The sequence below is a fragment of the Homo sapiens genome, chromosome 4 (genome assembly GCF_000001405.40).
Source record: "Homo sapiens chromosome 4, GRCh38.p14 Primary Assembly".
In the NCBI taxonomy this organism is placed as follows: Eukaryota; Metazoa; Chordata; class Mammalia; order Primates; family Hominidae; genus Homo; species Homo sapiens.
The window spans coordinates 117830081-117852808 of record NC_000004.12 but is presented as its reverse complement, the minus strand read 5'-3'; the positions used below and the strand labels follow the sequence as shown (position 1 = coordinate 117852808).

At 39.3% G+C, this 22728-nt stretch overlaps 2 long non-coding RNA genes across 2 annotated transcripts in view; one reads left to right on the top strand and one right to left on the bottom strand.

Moving 5' to 3' along the window:
* Positions 1–18408, bottom strand: part of LINC02264 (long intergenic non-protein coding RNA 2264) — a 35548-nt gene extending 17140 nt beyond the window's left edge. The window contains exon 1 of the long non-coding RNA NR_147154.1: positions 18323–18408. This is a non-coding gene — a long non-coding RNA (long intergenic non-protein coding RNA 2264). The remainder of the gene's footprint in view (positions 1–18322) is intronic.
* The window catches only part of LOC102723914 (uncharacterized), a 52393-nt gene that overhangs the window by 9318 nt on the left and 20347 nt on the right, over positions 1–22728 (top strand). The window lies entirely within an intron of this gene.

Genomic DNA, 22728 nt, shown 5'->3' with positions numbered 1-22728 from the left:
GGATGTAGGTGTTTATTGCTATAAATTTCTTATATTACAGCTTTTACTGTATCCCACAGGTGTTGGTATATTGTATTTCTATTTTCACTTGTTTCAGGAATTTTTTTGATTTCCGTTTTAAATTCCTCATGACCCAATTGTCATTCAGGATCATGTTTAATTTCTGTGTAGTTGTATAGTTTCCAGTGTTCCTGTTAGTATTGATTTCTAGTTTTATTGCATTGTGATCTGAGAAGATATTTAATATGATTTCTATTTTTAAAAAATACTTTTTAAAAAAATTATTTAAAAAATAAACATAGACTTGTTGTGTGGCCTGACATATTATCTATCTTGAATAATGTTATATGTGCTGATGAGAATGATGTGTATTCTGCAGTAGGATAAAATGTTTTGTAAATGTCTATTAGGTCCATTTGGTCCAAAGTCCAGTTTTAATCCAATGTTTTTTTGATTTTGTATCTAAATGTTCTATCTAATGCATAGAATGAGGGTATTGGAGTCTATCTCTCTTTTTAGATCTAGTAATATTTTCTTATGCATCTGAGTGCTCCAGGGTTTGTTGCATATATATTTAGAATTGCTATTTTATTTTGCTGGATTTATCACTTCATCATTTTATAATGACCTTCCTTATTTTTTTTAAATTTTTTTTCTATTTTTGGCTTAAAGTTTGTTCCATATAAGTATAGCTTCTCTTGCTCACTTTGCTTTTCTTTCACATAAAATACCTTTTTTCATCCTTTTACTTTGAGTTTATATGTGTATTTACAGAGAAAGTGCATTTCTTATAGGCACCATATAGTGGGATTAGTTGGATTATGTTTTCTTATCCATTCAGCCAGTATATCTTTTAAGTGGAGAATATAATCCATTTACATTTAAGGTAATTATTAATATGTGAGGTTTTCTCCCAGTCATACTGTTAATTAATTTTGGTTGTTTTGTATATTTTTTTTTGTTTTTTTCTCTTATTATTTGTCATTTTGTATTGGTAATGACCTGTAGTTGTGTCATTTATGTCTCTTTCTCTTTCTCATTTGTGTGTTTCCTTTACTATTGAGTTTTATACTTGTGTGTGTTTTTATGTTGGCAAATGTTATCCTTTAGCTTCCAGATTTAAGCCTCTCTTGTGCATTTCTTTTAGGACTGGTCTAGTGATGATGAATTTTCTGAGCATTTGTTTGTCTGGAAAAGACTTTATCTTTCACTTATGAAAGGTAACTTTGCTGGATGTAGTATAATTGATCAGCAGTTTTTTTTTCTTCTTTCAGCACAGTAAATATGTCATTCCATTTTCTCCTGTCCTGTAAGGTTTCTGCTGAGAAATCTACTGTTAGTCTGATGGAGGTTCCTTTATAGATGATATTTTTCTCTTTCTGTTTTTACAGTTCTTTCTTTCTTATTAACTTTAAATATTTTGACTGTAATGTGAAGTGGAGGCCTTTTACATTATATCTGTTTGGGGACTGTTGCCCCTTCTGTATCTGGGTGTCTTAATCTCTTGCCAGACTTGGGAAGTTTCATCTATTATTAAATAGGTTTTATAATTATTTTGTGCTCTCTTTTCCTTCTGAGATACTGATAATTCATACATTTGGTCACTTCATGATGTTCCATATATCACAAAAGTTTTATTTATTCTTTTTTTCTCATTTATTTATTATTATTATTATTATTTTTGCTGATACAGAAACTCACTCTGTCACCCAGGCAGAAGTGTAGTGGCATGATCATTGCTCACTGTAGCCTTGAACTTCTGGGCTCCAGTGATCCTCCTGCCTCAGCCTTCTGAGTAGCTGGGACTACAGTCATGTGCCACCATGTCTGTATAACTTAATTTTTTTTTTTTTTGTAGAGACAGAGTCTTACTATTTTTCCCAGGCTATCCTCCAACTCCTGAGCTCAAGCAATCCTTTCTCTTCAGCCTCCCACAGTGCTAGGATTATAGGCATGAGCCACCATGCCTGTCCTCCTTATTGTTGGCTAACTGGATTATTTCAAAAGATTTGTCTTCAGGTTTTGAGATTCTTTCTCTGCTTTATCCAGTCTATTGTTGAAACTTTTGAATGCATTTCACATTTCCTTCAGTGAATTCTTCAGTTCCAGAATTTTTTTGTTTTTATTTTATGATATCTATCTCTTTGTTAAATTTCTCATCACATCCTGAATTGTTTTTCTGACTTCTATTGCATCTGGTACATCAGTCACTTCTTTCAACATTTTGAGTTTGCTTTCATAGGAGAGGACTTTTTCCTAAAGATCTATCTGTGATGTTGGTTGGGTGGGTCACTTTGCCTTTGATTTTTGTTATGTGCAGTAATGTAGTCTCTGTACAATTTCTTTGGCTGTAAAAATTGTCAGTGGTATCTGAGATTTCCTCAGTGGCTTAGAGTGCAGTTATTAGTGGAGGCTGTGGTGAAGTTTTGTGGGAATTAGGATGCTAGGTAGGCCAGAGTTCAGGTTTCAGTAGTTGCAGCAGTGAGCTGTCTTTTGGGCTCAGGGTGGTTTACACTGACACTAGTGTTATCGTACCCAAGTTGGTTGATTCTTGAATCTCCAAGTGGCTTACTCTGATGCTTGGTAATGGCAGCCATAACCTTTGCAGTTTGGTGGGTTATTGGGCCCCTGTTCAGATGGTGTGGTGTGGGTGATCACAGTGGCAGTGGCAGGATGACCCTTTTGGTTCTGAGCAGTGCTGCTGTTGGCAGTGGCTACAGTGGGTTTTGGGCAGCCAGTCTCCAGGCCTGCAGGTAGCATGTGCAGGTAGATGACTGTTGTGGTAGTAGTGGCTGAGTGGATAGGCCCAACCTCAGTTTCTCAGGAGGAGTGTTCAGATGCCAACAATGATTGACTTGGCTGGGCAATCACCTGGCTTCTGGACTGTGCACACTGGCATAAGTGGGGAGAGGGGCAAAGTTGGGCTTTGTTGGCTTGTCTTCAGGCATGTGATGGTGTGTGTAGCTGCTGGCTGTGGTAGGAAGAAGTCAGGTAATCCCTAGGCCATCAGTGAAATTCTCAGGTTGATGGAAATAGCAGCTGTGCAGTGCCCTTCCCTGGGGCAGTGCCCACTTCAGTGACAGAAGTGTAGGCTGGTAGGTGAGAAGTATGCATACCACTTATACCTCATCTGAGGGTGTGGCAGTCACAGTCTGTCATGCCTAAGCCCTGGAGTTAATAGTCAGCTCTTCTCTTGCACCTCAGTCACAGCATTGCTGGAATTCAAGACAGTGCATAGTCTGTTGGGGGAAAGGGCTTTAGAATTGTGTCTCACTGACACCTCAGTTCTAAAAACAGCAGTCCGTGTTTCAGGTGTGTCTCTGCCCTGCGTAGGATAACCTGGGGTCACTTTTTCATAAGCCCCAGGAGCAGCAGCCTGTGCTTCTCTTGCATCTCAGCGGCAGCATTGTGGGGCTCCAGGACAGTGCACCATCTGTTGGAAATGGAGTTATAAAATGGCACTTTGCTGTAGCAGCTTAGGTCTCAAGAAATATCAGACACCCAGTGTGAGCATCCTTCCTGGGGCAATGACATAATAAAATCTCCCAGCCACACCCTCTATTAGTTTCAGAATCTGTGAGGGTAGAGGGCTCTCTTGTGGCTAGAATTGCAGAAGTCTATGGTGAAAATGTGGACAACTGAGAATCTTTCATTTACCCTTTCCTTGTGTTGGGGAGTCTCTCTTGGCTCCCAGCTGAACGAGGTTGAGCAGACTGCCTTGATTCTTTTTCTTTCCTTGCTTAGGTATTGCCTATTCATTTCCTTTTGAACTCCAGTGTTTTCTCTTGGATGACATCTTCAAAGTGTGATTATCTACTTGCTATTTTAGTTCTTTTTAGAGGAGGTAGCTAGTACAAAATGTCTTTAGTCAACCATCCTGAAGAAATGGATACATTTCTAGACACATACCACCTACAAAGATTGAAACACGAATAAATCCAAAACTTACACAGGCCAATAAGAAGTAACAAGATTGAAGCCATAATGAAAATTCTCCCAGAAAATAAAACCCTGGGAACCAATGGTTTCGCTGCTTAAAACTACCAAACATTTAAAGAACTACAACATGTGGTGTTTGGTTACATGGATGAGTACTTTAGCAGTGATTTCTGAGATTTTGGTGCACCCCTCACCTGAGTAGCATACACTGAACCCAATGTGTAGTTTTTTATGCCTCACCCCGTCCCACCCTTCCCAAGTCCTCAGAGTCCATTATGTCATTCTTATGCCTTTGTGTCCTCACATCTTAGCTCCCATTTATAAGTGAGAGCATAGAATATTTGGTTTTAAAATACACACCTATGTTAGTTCTCCATTGCTACATAACACATTACCCAAAATTTGGCAGCAGCTTAACACAATATATCTTCATTATCTCATGGTTTCTGTACATCAGGAGTCGGTGCAGGCATGGCTTCACTGGGTTCTCTGTTTCAGGATCTGCAATCAACCTTTCAGCTGTGGTGTGTTCTTATTTACAGGCTTGATCAGGGAGAATCTGCTTTCAAGCACATTCAAGTTGTGAGCAGAATTCATTTTCCTGCACTGTATGACTGAGGGCACTGGTCTTTTGCAGCGTGTTGGCTGGAAGCTGTCCTCAAATCCTAAAGAAAAATCAGTTACTTGCCATATCCATGTGGACTCTCATTTGGCAGTTCATGCACGGGTGTTTGCTTCCTCATGTCAAGCAGGAGAGCCTTTATCTTCAGTTGGCTAAGATGAAGTCTTACATAATAAAACATAATCTTGGGAGTGGCATCTTATCAGCTCTGCCATATTTGTTTGGCTAGAAGCGAATCACAAGTCCCACCCAGACTCAGATTATACAGTGCTTAATGCTAGGGAGTGGGGATCATGGGACCTTCCTAGAATTCTACTGATCACAGCTTCCTAAAGCATAAGTACTATAATAACCTTAGTGGAGTTTATGATTAAATTACACTTCCGTGTGTAACAACTTTTAGCGGTATGTGTACATCTAGTTTTAGTACAAGCATACCTCAGAGATATTGCAGGTTCAGTTTCAGACCATAGCAGTACAGCAAATATTGCAATAAAGCAAATCAGACAAAATTTTTGATTTCCCATGCATATAAAAATTATGTTTATACTATGCTATATTCTATTAAGTGTGCTATGGTATTATGGCTAACAAATGTATATAACTTAATTTTAAAAATACTTTATTCCTAAAAATTGCTAACACTCGTCTGAGCCTTCAGAAAGCTTTAATCTTTTCATTGGTAGGAGGTCTTGCCTACCTGTTGATGGCTGCTGTCAGGGTGGTGGTTGCTGAAGTTCAAGGTGTGGCAATTTCTTAGAATAAGACAACAGTGAAGTTTGCTGCATCAATTGATTCTTCCTTTAATGAAAGATTTCTCTGTAGCATGCAATGCTGTTTGAAAGCATTTTGTCTTCAATAGAACTTCTTTAATATTTGGAATTAATCCTTTCAAACACAGCTGCTGCTTTGTCAATAAAGTTTATGGAATATCCTAAATGCTTTGTTGTCATTTCAACAATGTTCACAGCATCTTCAACAGTAGTTTCCAAAAAAAGAAACCACTTTTTTTCCCTCCTCCATAAGAAGCAATTCCTCATCTGTTCAACTTCTATCATGAGATTGCAGCAATTCAGTCACATCTTCAGGCTTCACTTCTCATTCCAGTTCTCTTGCTATTTCCACCACATCTGCAGTGACTTTCTCCACTGAAGTCTTGAACCTCTCAAAGTCATTCATAAGAGTTGGCTTTAACTTCTTCCAAATCCCTGTTAATATTGATACTTTGACTTTTTCCCATGAATTATGAATGTTCTTAATGAATGTTCTTAAACATCTAGGATGGTGAATCCTTTCCAGATAGCTTTTTAAAGTTACTTTGCCAAGATCCATCAGAGGAATCACTATGTATGCTGGTTATTGCCTTATGAAATATATTTGTTAAAAACTAAGACTCGAAAATTGAAATTGTTCCTAGATCATGGGCTGCAGAATGGATGTTGTGTTAGCAGGTATGAAAACAACATTAAACCCTTGTACATCTCCATCAGAGCTCCTGGGTAACAAGGTGCATTGTCGGTGAACAGTAATGTTTTGAAATAATCTTTTATTTTCTGAGCAGTAGGTCTCAACTGTAGGCTTAACATCCTCAGTAAACCATGTTTTACAAAGCACAGGCAAAGATAGATTTAATATCATGCATAAGGGCTCCCGGGTTTTCTAAATGGTAAATGAGCACTGGCTTCAATTAAAGTCACCAGCTGCATTAGCCCGTAACAAGAGAGTTAGTCTGTCCTTTGATGTTTTTCAGCCAGTCATTGGCATCTCTTCTCTAGTTAAGAAAGTCCTAGATGGGATCTTCTTCCTTACAAGCCTGTTTTACCTATACTGAACATCTATTGTTTAGTGCAACCACCTTCTTCAATAATCTTACCTAGATTTTTTGGATAACTTGCTTCAGCTTCTCCATCAGCACTTGCTTCATCTTGCACTTTCATATTATGGAGATTCTTTCCCTAAATCTCATTAACTAACCTGTGCTGGCTTCCAACTTTTCTTCTGAAGCTTTCTCACCTCTCCTAGCCTTCATAGAATTGAAGTTAGGTCCTTGTTTTGGATTAGGCTTTGGCTTTAAGGGAATGTTGTGGTTGGTTTAATCTTCTGTCCAGGCCACTCACATTTTCTCCATATTAACAATAAGGCTGTTTCGTTTTCTTATCATTCATGTTTTCACTGGAGTAGCACTTCTAATTTTCTTCAAGAACTTTTCCTTTGCATCACAACTTGGCTAACTATTTGGCACAAGAGGCCTATCTTTTGGCCTATCTCAGCTTTCAAAATACCTTCCTCACTAAATTTAATCATTTCCAGCTTTTAATTTAATGTGAGAGACGTGTAACTCTTCTTTTCACTTAAACATTTGGAGGCCATTGTGGGATTATTAATTGACCTAATTTCAAAATTGTTTTGTCTTAGGGAATAGGGAGTCTTTGGGAGAGGGAGTGAGATGAGGGAACAGCCAGCTGGTGAAGCAGTTGGAACACACACAACATTTTAATGATTAATTTCACTGTCTTGTAGCAATGCAGTTCATGGTGCCCCAAAGCAATTACAATAGTAACAGCAAAGATGACTGATCACAGATAACCCTAACATATACAATAACAATGAAAAGGTTAAATAGTGCAAGAATTACCTAAATGTAACACAGAGACAGGAAGCTAGCTCATGGTGTTGTAAAAATGGACCAACAGGCTTGCTAGCTTCAGGAGGCCACAAACCTTCAATGTGTAAAAAGTGCAGTATCAGCGAAGCATAATAAAAGCAATGTGCAATCAAAGGAGAAGGCATGCCTCTATTTACTTTCTCTTCTCTGCACTGTGTTGCTGTCATCAGTCCAAGTATCACCTGGACCTTGTGCAAGATATTTCTTTCTCCAAGACATTTAAAAAATATACCTCTGCAGTAGATATTGTTGTTGTCTCATCCAGTTTGCTTTCACTAGGCTTATGCACTCATCCCTTTGGCCCAGTGAGAGCTAGTGTGCCTGGATATAACACCCACCTCTACCTCCACTCACTTTAATGGGCATTAGCTGTGATTCGACAATACGAGAGTACAAAGAACTGGTCCCTTGTGTCAAAGAACAACCAACTAGGTTTAATATGTACTCCTGAGTGCCCAGGTCAGGCTGAAGTGAGGCTCCAACCAAGACCACATCCTTGTTCATCCTTTCCTGCCCTATCCTACTTCACACACTCTGCCTCCTAAATACTATAAATCACTTTCATGAGAATCCTTGTCTTAGGGTTTGATTTTAGGCAATCCTTCTTGACACACTCTCTTAGGTTTTTATCTTTAGATATGAAAGTCTGTAGGTGTTTACATGTCAAAATTGTTTGAGTAGTAGCTATTCCTTTAAGAATTCTCTCTGACTTTACAAGAATTTAAAATGCTTGTTACATTTGAAAGGGTGATTATGTGAATACTTAAGAAGGAAAATTCCAGGAATTATATTTGTCATGCAGCTAGAAGCCTTGTTGAGTTCTTACTACTGCTACATAGGCAGGCGTGAAAGTCTGGCTTTTGGATACTTAGAAAGAGACTCTTTACAGAAACCCCCTAACTTTTCCTTAGCTTGTTGTTGCAGTTTGAATTAAGACAAGTTATATAATTATCTTGAAAACCAAATAAAATTAATTATCAAAGGGCACAAAAGACAGACAAATCCTTAAAAGAAAGACAGTGCAATTCTATTTACTGATATTTTAATAAACTAAAGCATAAATAATTCTTCAACAGCTCATTTTTTTTCCTTTTTTAATAGAAAAAACATTTAGACACAGTTACGTATTTTTTTTTCTGATTTGTTAACTCATTTTCAGAGTGCTATTTGATCCTTTTAGAGGTTTTTGTTAAATTCGAGTGTCACATTAATTATCCTCAGCTCTTTCCTACTTTGTGCAATAGGTAGTGGTGACATTCATCGTATCCACAACCATGCAGCGTGACCACTGACCCGTCACAGCAGCCATGAGCAGTGAACAGCCAGTACCCCTGTTCTGCTGAAAACCAGCTGTCCTATTCATTAATACGTATATATTTATCTATTTTATTTACTCGTAATCTTACTTTAAAATCATTAGAGAACATTCTATTTAAGGTAACACTAAAGAAAATTTCTTTTTGAGGCAAATATGTCATTTTTTAAAAGGGAAAAGAGTAACATTAATCCTTTACATAAATCCCAATTGTATTGTATCAGGTTTGTTTAAGGAAGGAAATCTTTTATTAATTTATACAAGTATGTAATATAAGTAATGAACCAGGGAATACAATTTAAATCATATCTATGATCTTGAGTTGGCCTTAATTTTCCTTTACTTGCCAATATGTAAATCTTCAGGAGGAGACTATATGTATGATTTAGACTTGGAAACAATATTCAAGTACAAATTAGATATTTTATCAGTCTCACCATGATATATTCTCTGTCTCCATAAACCCCTTGGTCACCCAAGCATGACACTTGGAAATGAATTTTCACTTTATCTTCTCTTTCTTTGTCATCTTTACCTCATACTATATTATTTGTAACTAAGTTCAGCTGATTCTAATATCTAAACATTTCCCTGACCTTTATTTATTTGTCTAAAATATAAATGTGAGTATGCTACTGATTTTCTTAAGACACATGAAGGGCTCCATTCATTCAGGATTTGTTAAAGATCAGACTCCTTGTGTGGCTATAAGACCCTTCACGGTTCAGTCTCTGCCATACGCCTATGTTTGTGCTCTGTTCCAGGTTAACAGCCTTTTTGTTCATGAGGACTGGCATGCTTTCTCATTCCTCTTGACTTCAGCTCCTTGAGTTGCATCTTGCTGCAATTTCTTTCTTTTATTTCTACACCAAGACAGGCACTGCCTATCAATCATGACACCATTTAAAGGTTAAGTCTTGAGTGAGTTCTCTGTCTCATCTCTGGGCAGAGTTAGGGGTTTCTTTATGTTTTCTTTGCACATTGTGAATACATCTCTTGTAGCACAGGATTGTGAGTTCCTTTAGGATCTAGTCTGTGTTCTCCTTATCTTTTATTACCAGCATCTAGCCTAGCCAATTGCTTATCACACAGCACTCAATAAATTGTGACTTTTGAGTGCGTGAATAATTATATGTTTATAGTCTACTTTATTAGTAGTAGTATTTTTTAGATGGAGTCTCGCTCTGTCACCCAGGCTGGAGTGCAGTGGCACAATCTCGGCTCATTGCAACCTCTGCCTCCCGGGTTCAAGTGATTGTCCTGCCTGAGCCTCCTGAGTAGCTGGAATTATAGGCATGTGCCACCACGCCCGGCTATTTTTTGTATTTTTCGTAGAGTTTCAGCATGTTGGCCAGGTTGGTCTCGAACTCCTGACTTTGTGATCCACCCACCTCGGCCTCCCAAAGTGCTGGGATTACAGGTGTGAGCCACCATGCCCGGCCTAGTCTACTTTAAATTACTAAATTGTTTCACTGACTCTAATTTTTTTTTAACACTTTGAAAAATAGACTTCTCAGTCACCTGTAATTTACTATAGGTTCTTACAATATAAGACATGGTAAGTATTAAATAATCAATAAATATTTTTGGAATAAATGAATGATTTAATTGATGCAGTTCTGAAACCCCACAAGCAAGGAAAGTCTGTTAGATTTCCTTTTTGTAACTATCTCATTGTATCATAACTTTTAAGAATCTTACACAATTTTTGCAAAAATCATGTTTTACTGATTTCATTACTATTTCTTTTGAATGTTAAATATACTATTATAATGACAAAATCTGAACCTATTCCCTGCTCTTTTTAAGTTTGTACCTCTTTAAAATAATAGCTTTAAAGTCAGAATATAACATTTTTTCGATGTCATTTTTTCATGCATTATTGTGTTCATAGTAAAATTGTGAAGTACAGAAATTTCCCATATGCCCCTTGCTCCCATACATGCATAACTTCTTCCATTATCAACATCCCTCACTAAAGTGGTATGTTTGAGGATACAACATTCTTTATCTCAACTTGAAGTAATCATAAGTATTGTCACAATAATTATTGCAATGTATATGTTTATTTAGATAAATGTCCTCTAAATAGGCAAACTATGCACAGTATTACCAAATACCACTAATAATAGCATTGAGTAATACCCTGTCCAAAAGAAAAAGACAAAGAAGAAGATATAACAGTTTATGTTCAAGAGACTCTTTGCTGAAGACAATGTCATGACAACATTTGGTGTTTCTTTCATATGTTAACATTTATCTGTTATTTGCAATGTTCTTGGACAGATACCATGGTGGTTTTAAAGATAAGGGTTTAATCCCTGACTTAAGAGTTACCAATCCTTTAGGAAAATTTGGATAGGATGGTAACTATAATGAAAGCCTATGTGTCATAAATGTATTAGTGGTCAAGGACAATGGGCATTGGGAGGAAATAAATCAATTCTGGTTATAGAAAAATCACAGAGCCAATGAAATATGATCGTATCTTAAAAATGAATAGGATTTCAACATCAGGAAATGAACAAGTTTTCATAACTGAAAGTCTATCAGGAGGGAGAGTAGAGGAGGGAAATCACTTATGCTAGTGTATAAGGGTTCTTGTCTCCATTATCCCCAAATCACCACCCAGACTAGGTACATCTTCCTCCGTTTCTGACTGTCATCCTCTAAGAGAAGTTCTATTTTTTTCCAGACTAAGTGCTGAAGGACATCAGACAAGGAAAAGTTCTTACCATTATGTAGTTTTGTTTACACAAAGAAGCTACATAGTATGAAGATGAGAAACAGTGAGGAGTGGAGAGAGAGAAAGGCATGCTTCCTGAGCTAAAGCAGAGAGGGTTGTTGGGGATTTGGTTTGCAGGGAACTCCGGAGCAGTGATGAGCACAGGAGAACTGGGCATTAGTAGAAGAAGTTGAGATGAGTTTCCACGGGTTAGAAATGAGATTTCCTTTAATGTCCCTAAACACAGGAAAGCAGAGTGGATTTCCATGACCAAATTTTGGCTGCTGGAGTGAGTTTCCATAGATATGACTTGAGAGGCTTTTGTATGAGGACCTGACTTTTATTAGGTTTATTATCATAGACCTTATCTCAAAGATCTATAGAGAACTCAAACAAATATACTATTATAATGGCAAAATATATTATATAGAGGCACTTGGTATGTTTTAGGTGAGGATAGGTGGTTACATTTCATTGGGATGATGGGATTACGAAAATGAAAAGTGAAAATCATGCCTGGAAAAATAGTGTGTTTCATGGGTGCATGTTTGGAGGAGGGGATGGTCGGCTTGTGATTGCCTTGAGGGTCATGTTATTGAGGTGAGTTTCACTGCGGTGGCAAGTAAAAGACATTAAACAGCTTTGTTCAGACAGCAAGGTGACCATTGTTATTCCTAGGAACCTTTTATTTGGCAGTTATGTGTACATGAGGTACAGGAGAGACACTGAAGGTAAGAAAGCTAATTACTTCAGGAGGCTATTGAAATATTCTTGTGAAGGAGTGTCCAAAACTTTTTGATTGTGCATCTCTCATGAGAGAAATTTGAAGCACACTAGGCACGGTGGCTTGTGCCTGTAATCCCAGCACTTTGGGAGGACGAGGCAGGAGGATCACTTGAGGCCAGAAGTTCAAGACCAGCCTGGGTTACATAGTTGGACCTTGTCTCTACAAGAATTTAAATGATTAGGTGGGTATAGTGGCATGTGCCTGCAGTCCCAGCTAGTTGGGAGGCTGAGGCAGGAGAATCACTTGAGCCCAGGAGTTTGAGGCTACAGTGAGCTATGGTGACCCCACTGCATTCCAATCTTATTGAGACAGCAAGACCTTTTTCTAGAAAAAGAAAAAGAAAAAACACACCAATTTGGAACACACACTACTGCACTACGATATTGGGTTGTTTGTTTATAATATCTATCTATCTATCTATCTATCTATCTATCTATCTATCTATCTATCTATCTAATCTATCACCTATCTATCTATCTATCTAATCTATCATCTATCCATCTATCTAATCTATCATCTATCTATCTATCTATCTATCTATCTATTATCTATCTATCTATCTGTCTATCATCTATCTATCTTATAGATATTATAAAACATTTGGCCAGTCATGGTGGCTCACCCCTGTAATCCCAGCACTTTGGGAAGCCAAGGCAGGCAGATCACCTGAGTTCAGGAGTTTGAGACCAGCCGGGCCAACATGGCAAAACCCCATCTCTACTAAAAAAAGAAAATATATATATACAAAAATTAGCTGGACGTGGTGGCATGCGACTGTAATCCCAGCTACCCAGGAGACTGAGACAGGAGAAACACTAGAACCCAGGAGGCAGAGTCTGCAGTGAGCCAAGATCTCACCACTGCACTCCAGCCTGGGTGACAGAGCAAGACTCCTTAAAAAAAAAAAAAAAATGGAAATAATACAAATGCCCTAATTTATTGACATATTACCCTTTTTAGTATATTCTGACCATTTTGAAAACTGCCCATCTAGAGAGAAGATGACAAGGATCTTACTACAATTGTGGAGGTAAAAATAGCCAGAGTTGGGGACAACTGTAAAGGTTGTCATATTTGACCAATGATTTGGGCATAAAGGAGAGAGAGGTGGAGTAATGACTCCCAATGACTCCCACATTTCAGGCTTGTTATAAAGGTAGAATAGTACTTTAAGTAACAGAAATGTGTTGTTGGTGTAAGAATATTGTTTTGAGGGGAATATAATAAAGCTGGTCTTGGCAACGTTAATTCAGATTTCTAGTGAATAGTTAGGCAGAACAATCTGGCAGAAAATTGGAATTTCAGCATTGGAACCTAGGAGTGACATTGTGTGGTTGGAGATTCAATCTGTACATCCTCACATTAGATGTAATATATATAGCTGAAGTAAAGAGTTTAAATAAAGAAAAATATCTGAGAAAAGAGGACGAATCTCTGAAATCTGTTTCCACTCTTGAAGCAGGTTTAGCTTTAGGGCAGTAGGTAAGCAGAAAAGAAATGGTGTAAAGAAACAATGGAGACAGACACCAAGAGAAGATAGATTTTTTTTTTTTTTTTGGAGACAGAGTCTCACTCTGTTGCCCAGGCTGGATCTCATCTCACTGCAACCTCTGTCTCCTGGGTTCAAGCGATTCTCCTGCCTCAGCCTCCTGAGTAGCTGGGATTACAGGCACGTGCCACCATGCCAGGCTAATTTTTGTATTTTTAGTAGAGACGAGGTTTCACCATGTTGGTCAAGCTGGTCTGGAACTCCTGACCTTGTGATCCGCCCGCCTCGGTGGCCCAAGGTGTTGGGATTACAGGCGTGAGCCACTGTGCCCAGATGAGAAGATAAATCTTTAATAAAGTCTAGTGTGTTCAGTAATATCAATGGTTGCAGGGAAACTTAGGAACAAAAACCGAGAAGTCTATTGAACTAGCAATTAAAAGCCAACTTCTTTGGTGTGATTAAAAAGCTACCATCTTTTGTAAATCTTAGAGAATAGATATGTCAAAAGTCTAAAGATGGCACTGACTTAATTTTCAGAAAAGAAAAAAAATTCTATTAAATGTAGACTTCAATAAGACATATTTCTAGAAAACAGCTTTATTTTAAAGTTAATACTTTTAAATGTCAACTTTAATTAGGAGACAATATTTAAGTATCTTAAAAAATGTAAGTAAAAACTAAAGCCAGAGGCATGTCATTCTAACAAAACTTTTTACTCTCATTGTTCTTTTATTTAAATATACATTTTGTCATAATTAAACAATTTTGCTAAACTAATACAAAATGCACTTACAAATTTACATATTTATTAACATTGTACATGATTTTGTATTTTTTATTAATAATTTTATGTTTTAATAGTCATAATTATTATTTTAATGGATGTATGATACTTCATCTCAAGACATACTACAATTTCTTTTGGTTTTTGTGTGATTTTCTACATATAAGAGTGAAGGACCATCAGTCAAGAGGGACTGCAGAAGGGAAATAAGATTTTTTCTTAGTTTCTTTGAATACAATGAGACTTGGTTTTTACCTCACATTTACAGTATTTATTTTCTCTGTTGGGAATTATTTTCTGCTTGCACTGGATGAAATAACATTTTGCCCTGAAGTCCATGATTTATTCCTATACTTGATTAAAATAGTGCATTTAGAACTTTATAATCATATACTGACATTTCGTTTAAAAACAAGATGCATCTGAAAAACAAATTTTAACACATTTGAAGATGTTTTTTCATCTAACTTATGTTTTTGCACATGTAGAAAATTACTTCATGTTAGTGTTCTTTATGCTGTTTGATTTTGAGATGGACATCAAATAATGTGCCTAGAAACAAAATTTTGTAGATTCTTAAAATTGTGATGGAACTTTTAAAGCCATTCAGTTTTTCTGACTTAGAAATCAGTCATTTGAGAATCTAGTACCAACAGAAATCAACAGAGGAGAGTGTCTCCACTGAAGTATTGACAAATCTCCATTCAAGATATTGGTAAAAGTATATAATATTTTTGAATTAAAATTTTTAGCTTGTAATAATTTTGATTGGTATATCAAATTGACCACACCGATGGAGAAAATCATCAAACTACTCATATAGGATATAGTCATTTCAGATCGTGTAATAATTATAGCCATCTCTCTATATACTTGGGGATTGGTCCAAGACCTTCACATATGCCAAAACCAACACATATTCAAGTCCCAAAGTCAGTCCTGTGGAACCTATGTAAATATAAAGTCAGCCCTCCTTATATGGGTTTCACATACATAGATCCAGTACATACATTTTTGATCCACTTTGGTTGAAAAAAAAATCCTCCTAAAAGTGGATTCATGCAGTTCAAACCTATGTTGTTCAAGGATCAGCTGCACTTTATCCTCAGGAAATGGACAAAAATCTTCTTTGTTATAGCTAGAACCCATTTCCTCTTTTTTGATCTTCAGAAAGTAACTTTCCCAGTTTATTGGTGTGTATTATATGTAACAGAACTACCACATTTACTCTAGTAAAGCGGAGATCACATCTACAACTTGTCTTCGGTCCATCACCTCTGTCCTTTAGTTATAGAGGCAGAATAATCGGATAGTATGATATTGAGTAAGCATTGTGTGTGTATGCATGTGTGTCTTTATGCATACATAAACCAGTTAAATATAGGTATCATAGAAAGCAATGAATCTATAGTTTCTGTCTTCAAAGGACTTACAAGTTCATTTGGCGATAAGATACCTAGACATAAAGAACTACTTGGTACAAACTACACAATCAGGTACAAACCATGTAAATGCTTGAGGTATTAAGTAGTACAAGGTGGCTTGGAGATCAAGGGAAGGCTTTGCAGAAGTGAGTGTGGTGATAGGTCTGGAAAGGATCTTATTATGTACACATAAACATACAGAAAACAGGAGCAGAGGGAGATAAAGAAAACGGAAGAGAGAAGTATCTCCTGCCTCTCACCTGGGTGAATAGGCTGGCGATCAGCATTATTATATATCTACCATGTTCCAGACTCTATGTTTCATGCTTTGTAGATTTTTCTTGATTAAGCATGAAGAAAATAAGATTAAGCATGAGGCAAATAAGACGTTAATTTTTTTTTTTTTGAGACAGGGTCTCCTCTGTTGCCCTGAGTAGCTGAGACTATAAGCACCTGCCACCACACCTGGCAATTTTTTTTTTTTGTATTTTTTGTAGGGGCTGGGTTTCACCATGGGGTCCAGGCTGGTATTGAACTCCTGGGCTGAAGTGATCCTCCCAGCTTGGCCTTCCAAAGTGGTGAATGTGTATTTAATAAATTATGCTGATGTTTTCCCACTCATAGAGACTTAGTTGTCTTTGTTTTTCAAGTAGCTTGCAGATTGACTTTTCTTGTTATTTTTAGCACACACAAGTAGGATCATATGTTTAAAATTCTTCAACATTGCTTTGGGATTCAGGTTCTCTACAACTTAATAGTGATTCCGTGAAATGTCTAAATACTTTTCTCCAATTCCTGTTACATAAACATACTTTTATATAAATAAGTTTTGTAAAATAATCATGTCTGGAAATAATACATTAATAATGTTCCCCCTTTCACTGAGGAGAAATTGGAGACACAGGAAAGACGTCTAAACTACGCAGTGAAACAGTGGTAAAGTCTATACTAATACCCATAAACTGTCCAAAAATTCTATTTAAAAAAATGTTAAGTGCTTTTAGATTCATGGTTCTGATACGGGAGGCAGGGAAGTGCTGGGAGGAGAAAACTGGGGTCCCTAGCAAGGGTTCCACCCTCAGGCCTGTGCCCACAGTCCTAGGTGAGGACAGGCACTCCTGTTTTCATGCCAAATGTTGCATTTCCCAAGACCACCCTGGCCTGCCATGCCCCCATCCTGTGCCTATAAAAACCCCAAGACTCTAGCGGGCTGGACACAAGTGGCTGGACGTCGAGAGGAACACACCGGCAGAAGAACACACTGGTAGACAGCAGTAGACACCACAGGCCATCTATAGCGGCATGACGCTGAGTTCGCCCGAGGGCGGTGGGAGGAGAGCCTGGCAGCTGGGTGGCCCGACTCCAGGGGAAGACCACCTTCCTACTGGCCTCCCCATCCATCTGCTAAGAGCTACTTCCACCATTTAATAAAACCTTGCACTCATTCTCTAAGCCCATGTGTGAGCTGATTTTTCCAGTACACTAAGGCAGGAACCTGGATACAGAAAGCCATCTTTCTTTGCGATAAGGCAGAGGGTCTAATAGAGCTGATTAACACATGCCACCAGCAGATGGCAAAACTGAAAGAGCGCACTGTAACACACGCACACTGGGGCTTCGGAAGCTATAGACACTCAACCCTAGACACTGCTGCGGGGTTGGAGCCCATGCTCCCCATCATCTCCCCATATGCATGTTCTCCCTAGTGGTATGCGCAGTGGTGCACTGAAAAAGTGAGCCACGCCCTCATCGCAGGACCTGCAAGGGGTATAAGGGAATTTTTCCCATTTCAACTAGGGCTTATCTGGGATCCTGGAAAGTGAGTGTGAATGCACAACTGTCAGATCTGTCTCTTTTCCAAAACCCTGCCATCTCTCTCTCTTTCCTGCAAGTAACAGGCTCTATTTACCTTCACGGAGTTTTAAACTGCCTTGACCGGGCTAGTCAAAACACCCAGACTTCGTCTATTTTCTCTTTCTCATAGTTTGAAATAGCTCTTATCTCTTGTTTTATAATGTTAGGAGTTTTGCTACAGGCTGCAGCCATGTTACTAAGTAAAATGAGTGCAGCCATCAAAGGTGCAAATCAGACCAATTGCTCCTAGAGGTGCCATCTTCACTTCCACCCCAACAGCTGCAGACCCACGCAGCTCAAGACAGCTCCCCTTACCCTCTCCCCTCCCAGCTCGGGTGCCTGAGCACAGCCACAGGGGTTGGGGGGCATTAGAAAACCACGGCGGTGGCCAGGACCCCACAGGGCACGTCTCGTCCCCCGTGCCAACAGAGCATTTCTATCCTGGCCGAGGAATTCAACCGGGTCTGAACTGGGGAAGGATACAGGGATTAAAGCGACTCACTTGCACTGAACAAGGCGTTCTTCCCCCAGGACCTTCCCTTTTGCCCCTTATACTGTTTTTCTCTTTTTCCGTTTCGTGTGAGAGGACTGACCCCTCCCAGCACTCTGTTTCTGATAGGGAAGTTGATGGAGGAACAGCCCCTTCTGGCTGATAACTGCACATTTGGCAGGGCTCATTTGACACACTCTAAACAGGTACAAACAGCCTCTGAAATACCTTTTCAGTCCCAAACTCGATTCCAAGCTTCAGGCTGTGGCCCTAGAAAGAAAAACTCCATGGCATAAACAGGCCCAGGGAACTCAAAGGTTGTCCACAGCAGGAAAAAATGGAGGCATAGGTGATGGCGGTTAATTCCCATTCTCTAGGTTTTCCCTGCTTCGTGGGCAGATACCTCATGGGTATCTATGGCTAGCACCTGTCAAGGTCACCAGGACTCAGGGATAAGAGGTGGAAGGGAAGGGAGGATACCTGCTTTGCTTTCTCTCTTCATCACACCCTGTGTTTTTGCTGAAAGAAGGAAGGGAATGAAGTAAACCTCTATTTACTGTCTTTCAGAATGGTCAACTGGCTGTCTTCACCACCCCCAACTTATTCTTCTGGAGTGTATCCTGAACTATTGGGACTGTTTTGACCCTCAGAATCTGTAGGAAAAATGATTCATAGCTCTCTGAACAATGGTTTGGCCAAATTATGATTTACAGCAAGGACAGACTTGACCTCAGGAAGGAACCATTCATTTCAATATCATCCAGCACTTAGAACTTTTCTGTAGATGTGAGGACAGATGGTCCGAGGCCCCAAATGTGCAGGCTTTCTATACTTTGCAAGGCAATCCAGACCTTTGCTGATAGTGTAGAGTTGATCCAGCCCTCCTGCTTTCCATCTCAGGAAAGACTGCAAGGGGTAAGCCTGGGGAATTAAAGAGCTCTGGAGGCACTCCCAGCAGAGGAAGCAGGTCCCTCAAGCCCTGCTCCTCCGGGTCCACCTTGACCTCCCTATTCAGCTTCAGCATCTCACTCACCCCCTCCTAAAAATCCTCACCCTAAACAAGCCCCAGTTTCACTCTTGCCCCTTCAACAAATGCCCAGTGAATTTGGACCCAGTAAAAGCAAATTAAGGGGGATCTTGGCAAGTTTTGAGATGACCCTGATAGATATATAGCGGCTTTCCAGAATTTCACCCAAATATTTGAACTCTCCTGAAGAGACATTATGTTACTTTTGAATTAGAACCTGACAGACACTGAGAAACAGGCCACTCTGCAAGCAGCAGAGAGATTTGGTGATGAGCTTTGCACCACATATAGCGTCAGAGAAGGGAAAAAACAGTATCCATCTGGAAGAGAAGCAGTACCAGTGAATGACCCTAAATGGGATCCCAATGATGAGATGGGAGACTGGAAGAGGAGACACTTTCAAGTGTGCATAATGGAGGGCTTACGTAGGACTAAGACCAAGCTCTCAATTATACTAAGTTGTCTATGATTGACCAGGGATTTGATGAAAATCACACTGCCTTCCTGGAGAGGCTAAGAGAGGCCTTGGTAATGCACACCTCTCTATCTCCTGATTGAGTCCAGGGAAAGCTAACCCTATAGGATAAATTTATTACTCAGGCAGCTCCTGACATCAGGAGGAAGCTACAAAAACAGGCCCCAGGACCAGATAGTACATTAGAAGACCTCCTGAAAGCGGCCACCTCAGTCTTTTACAGTAGAGAAAGGGAAACACAAGAAAGAGGCAAAAGCTTGAATGGCCACTGTGCAAGGCCAAAAACCCCAGAATTCTCAGTGTACACCTGTTAACGGCTACAGATGTGGCAAGAACAGTTATCTTTCTTCTAAAGTTTAACCGCTTCCATACAAAGTTTAATTTCTTTTTTTTTTTTTTTGAGACGGAGTCTCGCTCTGTGGCCCAGGCTGGAGTGCAGTGGCCCGATCTCGGCTCACTGCAAGCCCCACCTCCCGGGTTCACGCCATTCTCCTGCCTCAGCCTCCCGAGTAGCTGGGACTACAGGCACCTGCCACGACGCCCGGCTAATTTTTTGTATTTTTAGTAGAGATGGGGTTTCACCATGTTAGCGAGGATGGTCTCGATCTCCTGACCTTGTGATCCACCCGCCTTGGCCTCCCAAAGTGCTGAGATTACAGACATGTGCCACTGCGCCCAGCCACAAGGTTTAATTTTTTTCACCAGAAACAGCTCTGGGTACAATGTTGTTGTTAGTATATTTCACTTCTTATCTCTGTAATCTTTGGCACTAAATTCTTTCCTTGTATAATACACATGTTTAAACCATGCATACTTAACTTTATAAAACTTTTTTTTTTCTCTCATGCCTAGAAGCCATCAAACTCCAAATGGTCAGGCAACCAGAGCCTCAGGTGATGGCTCCCCTTTGCAAGGAACCGTTAGATTAACCTCTGGGAGGAATCTGACTGCCATTTTACCCAAAACAATGGCCCTGTCAGCAGGAAGCAGCTAAGACCGATCATCATCCATATTTTAATGGCAGTTAGATGTACTTCTTCAGAGGAGGAAAATGATAAGGGAGAGGGGCTGGGAAGTGCTGGGAGAAGGGCAGGGTTCTTGGTGAGGGCTCCATCCTCGGGCCTGTGCCCATAGTCCTAGTTGAGGACAGGCACTCCTGTTTTTGCACCCAAATGTTGCATTTGCCGAGATGACCCTGGCCTGCTATGCCCCCATCCTGTGCCTATAAAAACTCCGAGACCTTAGCAGGCACAGACACAAGTGACCGGACGTTGAGAGGAACACATCAGCAGAAGAACACACCGAAAAACATGAGCAGATGCTGGCATGCCATCTACAATGACACGATGTGGAGTTTGGCCAAGTGTGGTTGGAGGATAGCCCGGCCACTGGGTGGCCCGACCCTAGGGGAAGACCACCTTCCCACTCCATTCCCCTTCTGGCCTCCCATCCATCTGCTGAGAGCCACTTCCACCATTCAATAAAACCGTGCACTCATTCTCTAGGTCCACATGTGATCTGATTTTTCCGGTACACTAAGGCAAGTACCGGGGATACAGAAAGCCCTCTGTCCTTGCAATAAGGCTGAGGGTCTAATAGAGCTGATTAACACACGCCACCTGCAGACAGCAAAGCTGAAAGAGTGCACTATAGCACACGCACGCTGGGGCTTTGGGAGCTGCGAGCACTCAACCCTAGACACTGCTGTGGGGTCAGCGCTCCCTATGAGCTGCCTGTTTGCATGCTCCGCCTAGGGGTATTAGCAGTGAGGCACCAAAGAAGTGAGCCACACCTCATCACACGCCTTGTGATGGGGATTAGGGAACTTTTCCTGTTTCAGTTCCTGTGTTATATTGTTATTTTCAGGGGCAAAGGACTTCTGACTCTTAGTTAGTACCGTGCTTCATGAGCCTTCTGAAGTATGTTGAATGCAAGGCTAGTTAATCATATGACTTTCTAACACGCCCATACTGTCCCTGATTGTTGAAGCACACACAGTGAAATAGGAACAGACTCCAGTTGCCATTGAGGTACTGAAACTAGCTAACCCACATTTAATCAACAAAAGAGTTGTGCAAAAAAGAAACTCTTTTTTAGTTGTTTGTTTCTAACAGTAGATGATACTAAAAAGAGGTATAGACAACAAAAGGAATCATATGAGAAATACACAGAATGAGATAATTGGGCAAAATTTCATGACGTTTCCTAAAAATGTAGACGTTGTTCATTTTGTAGGCTGAAGGAAAAATGAAGTAATGGTGGAGATTGTCTTTGAGTATTTTTGCATTAATTTCATTGAACATGATGACTAATCTCTGTTAGAATTTCTTTTTTGCTGTTTTATAGCTAAGAGAGAAAGCACTTCTTTCTCTCTTTTTTTTTAAGCGTGATATAATGTCTCTGCCATTGGGTTGAATATGTCTGTATAATCTACCCCTATTGTCTATAAAATTCCCTGGATAGTAGTTGACAGTCAATTGTTCAACAATGAGTGATCTATCCTGGAACCTGCATAATTAGATTTCATTTTGCTTAGTATATATTAGGTTGGTGCAAAAGTAATTGCAGTTTTTGCCATTACTTTTAATGTGAAAAACTCAATAACTTTTGCAACAACCTGATATATAGTTTTCACTTGGTCATTTAGACAAGCTACATTAAATATTGCTTTTTGTTTCAGAAGTCTTTGCTTTTCAGTCTAGTAATAAGTTTCTTTCACATTAGCTTTCAAAAAATGAATCTTCATTTCTGTTCTAAACTTTAAGTTGTAATTTCAATGACTTCACTATCTGTAATGTTCTCTGTCATTATTGCTAAGTAAATCACAAGAACCTTGTTTCCAAAATAATAATTTTGAGAAACAATTTGAGAGTTTATACAGAAATTTTCTAAGGTTTGGTAATAGAAAAAAAATTTACAGCTCCTGGAAGGATTTCTATTTACACAGTTTCCAGATAGGGAACTAGTAACTTGCTGATGTTTTAATAAAGAAAAATCTTGAATGCCAAACATTGATCAATGTTCTCTTTATTTTGCTTGTACTGAAATGAGGACATTTATTTAAAAATCAGTCTGAACAAGCAGCTGTCTATTATTGTGTCCTGTGTAATCTCACATATGTGATTAAATACA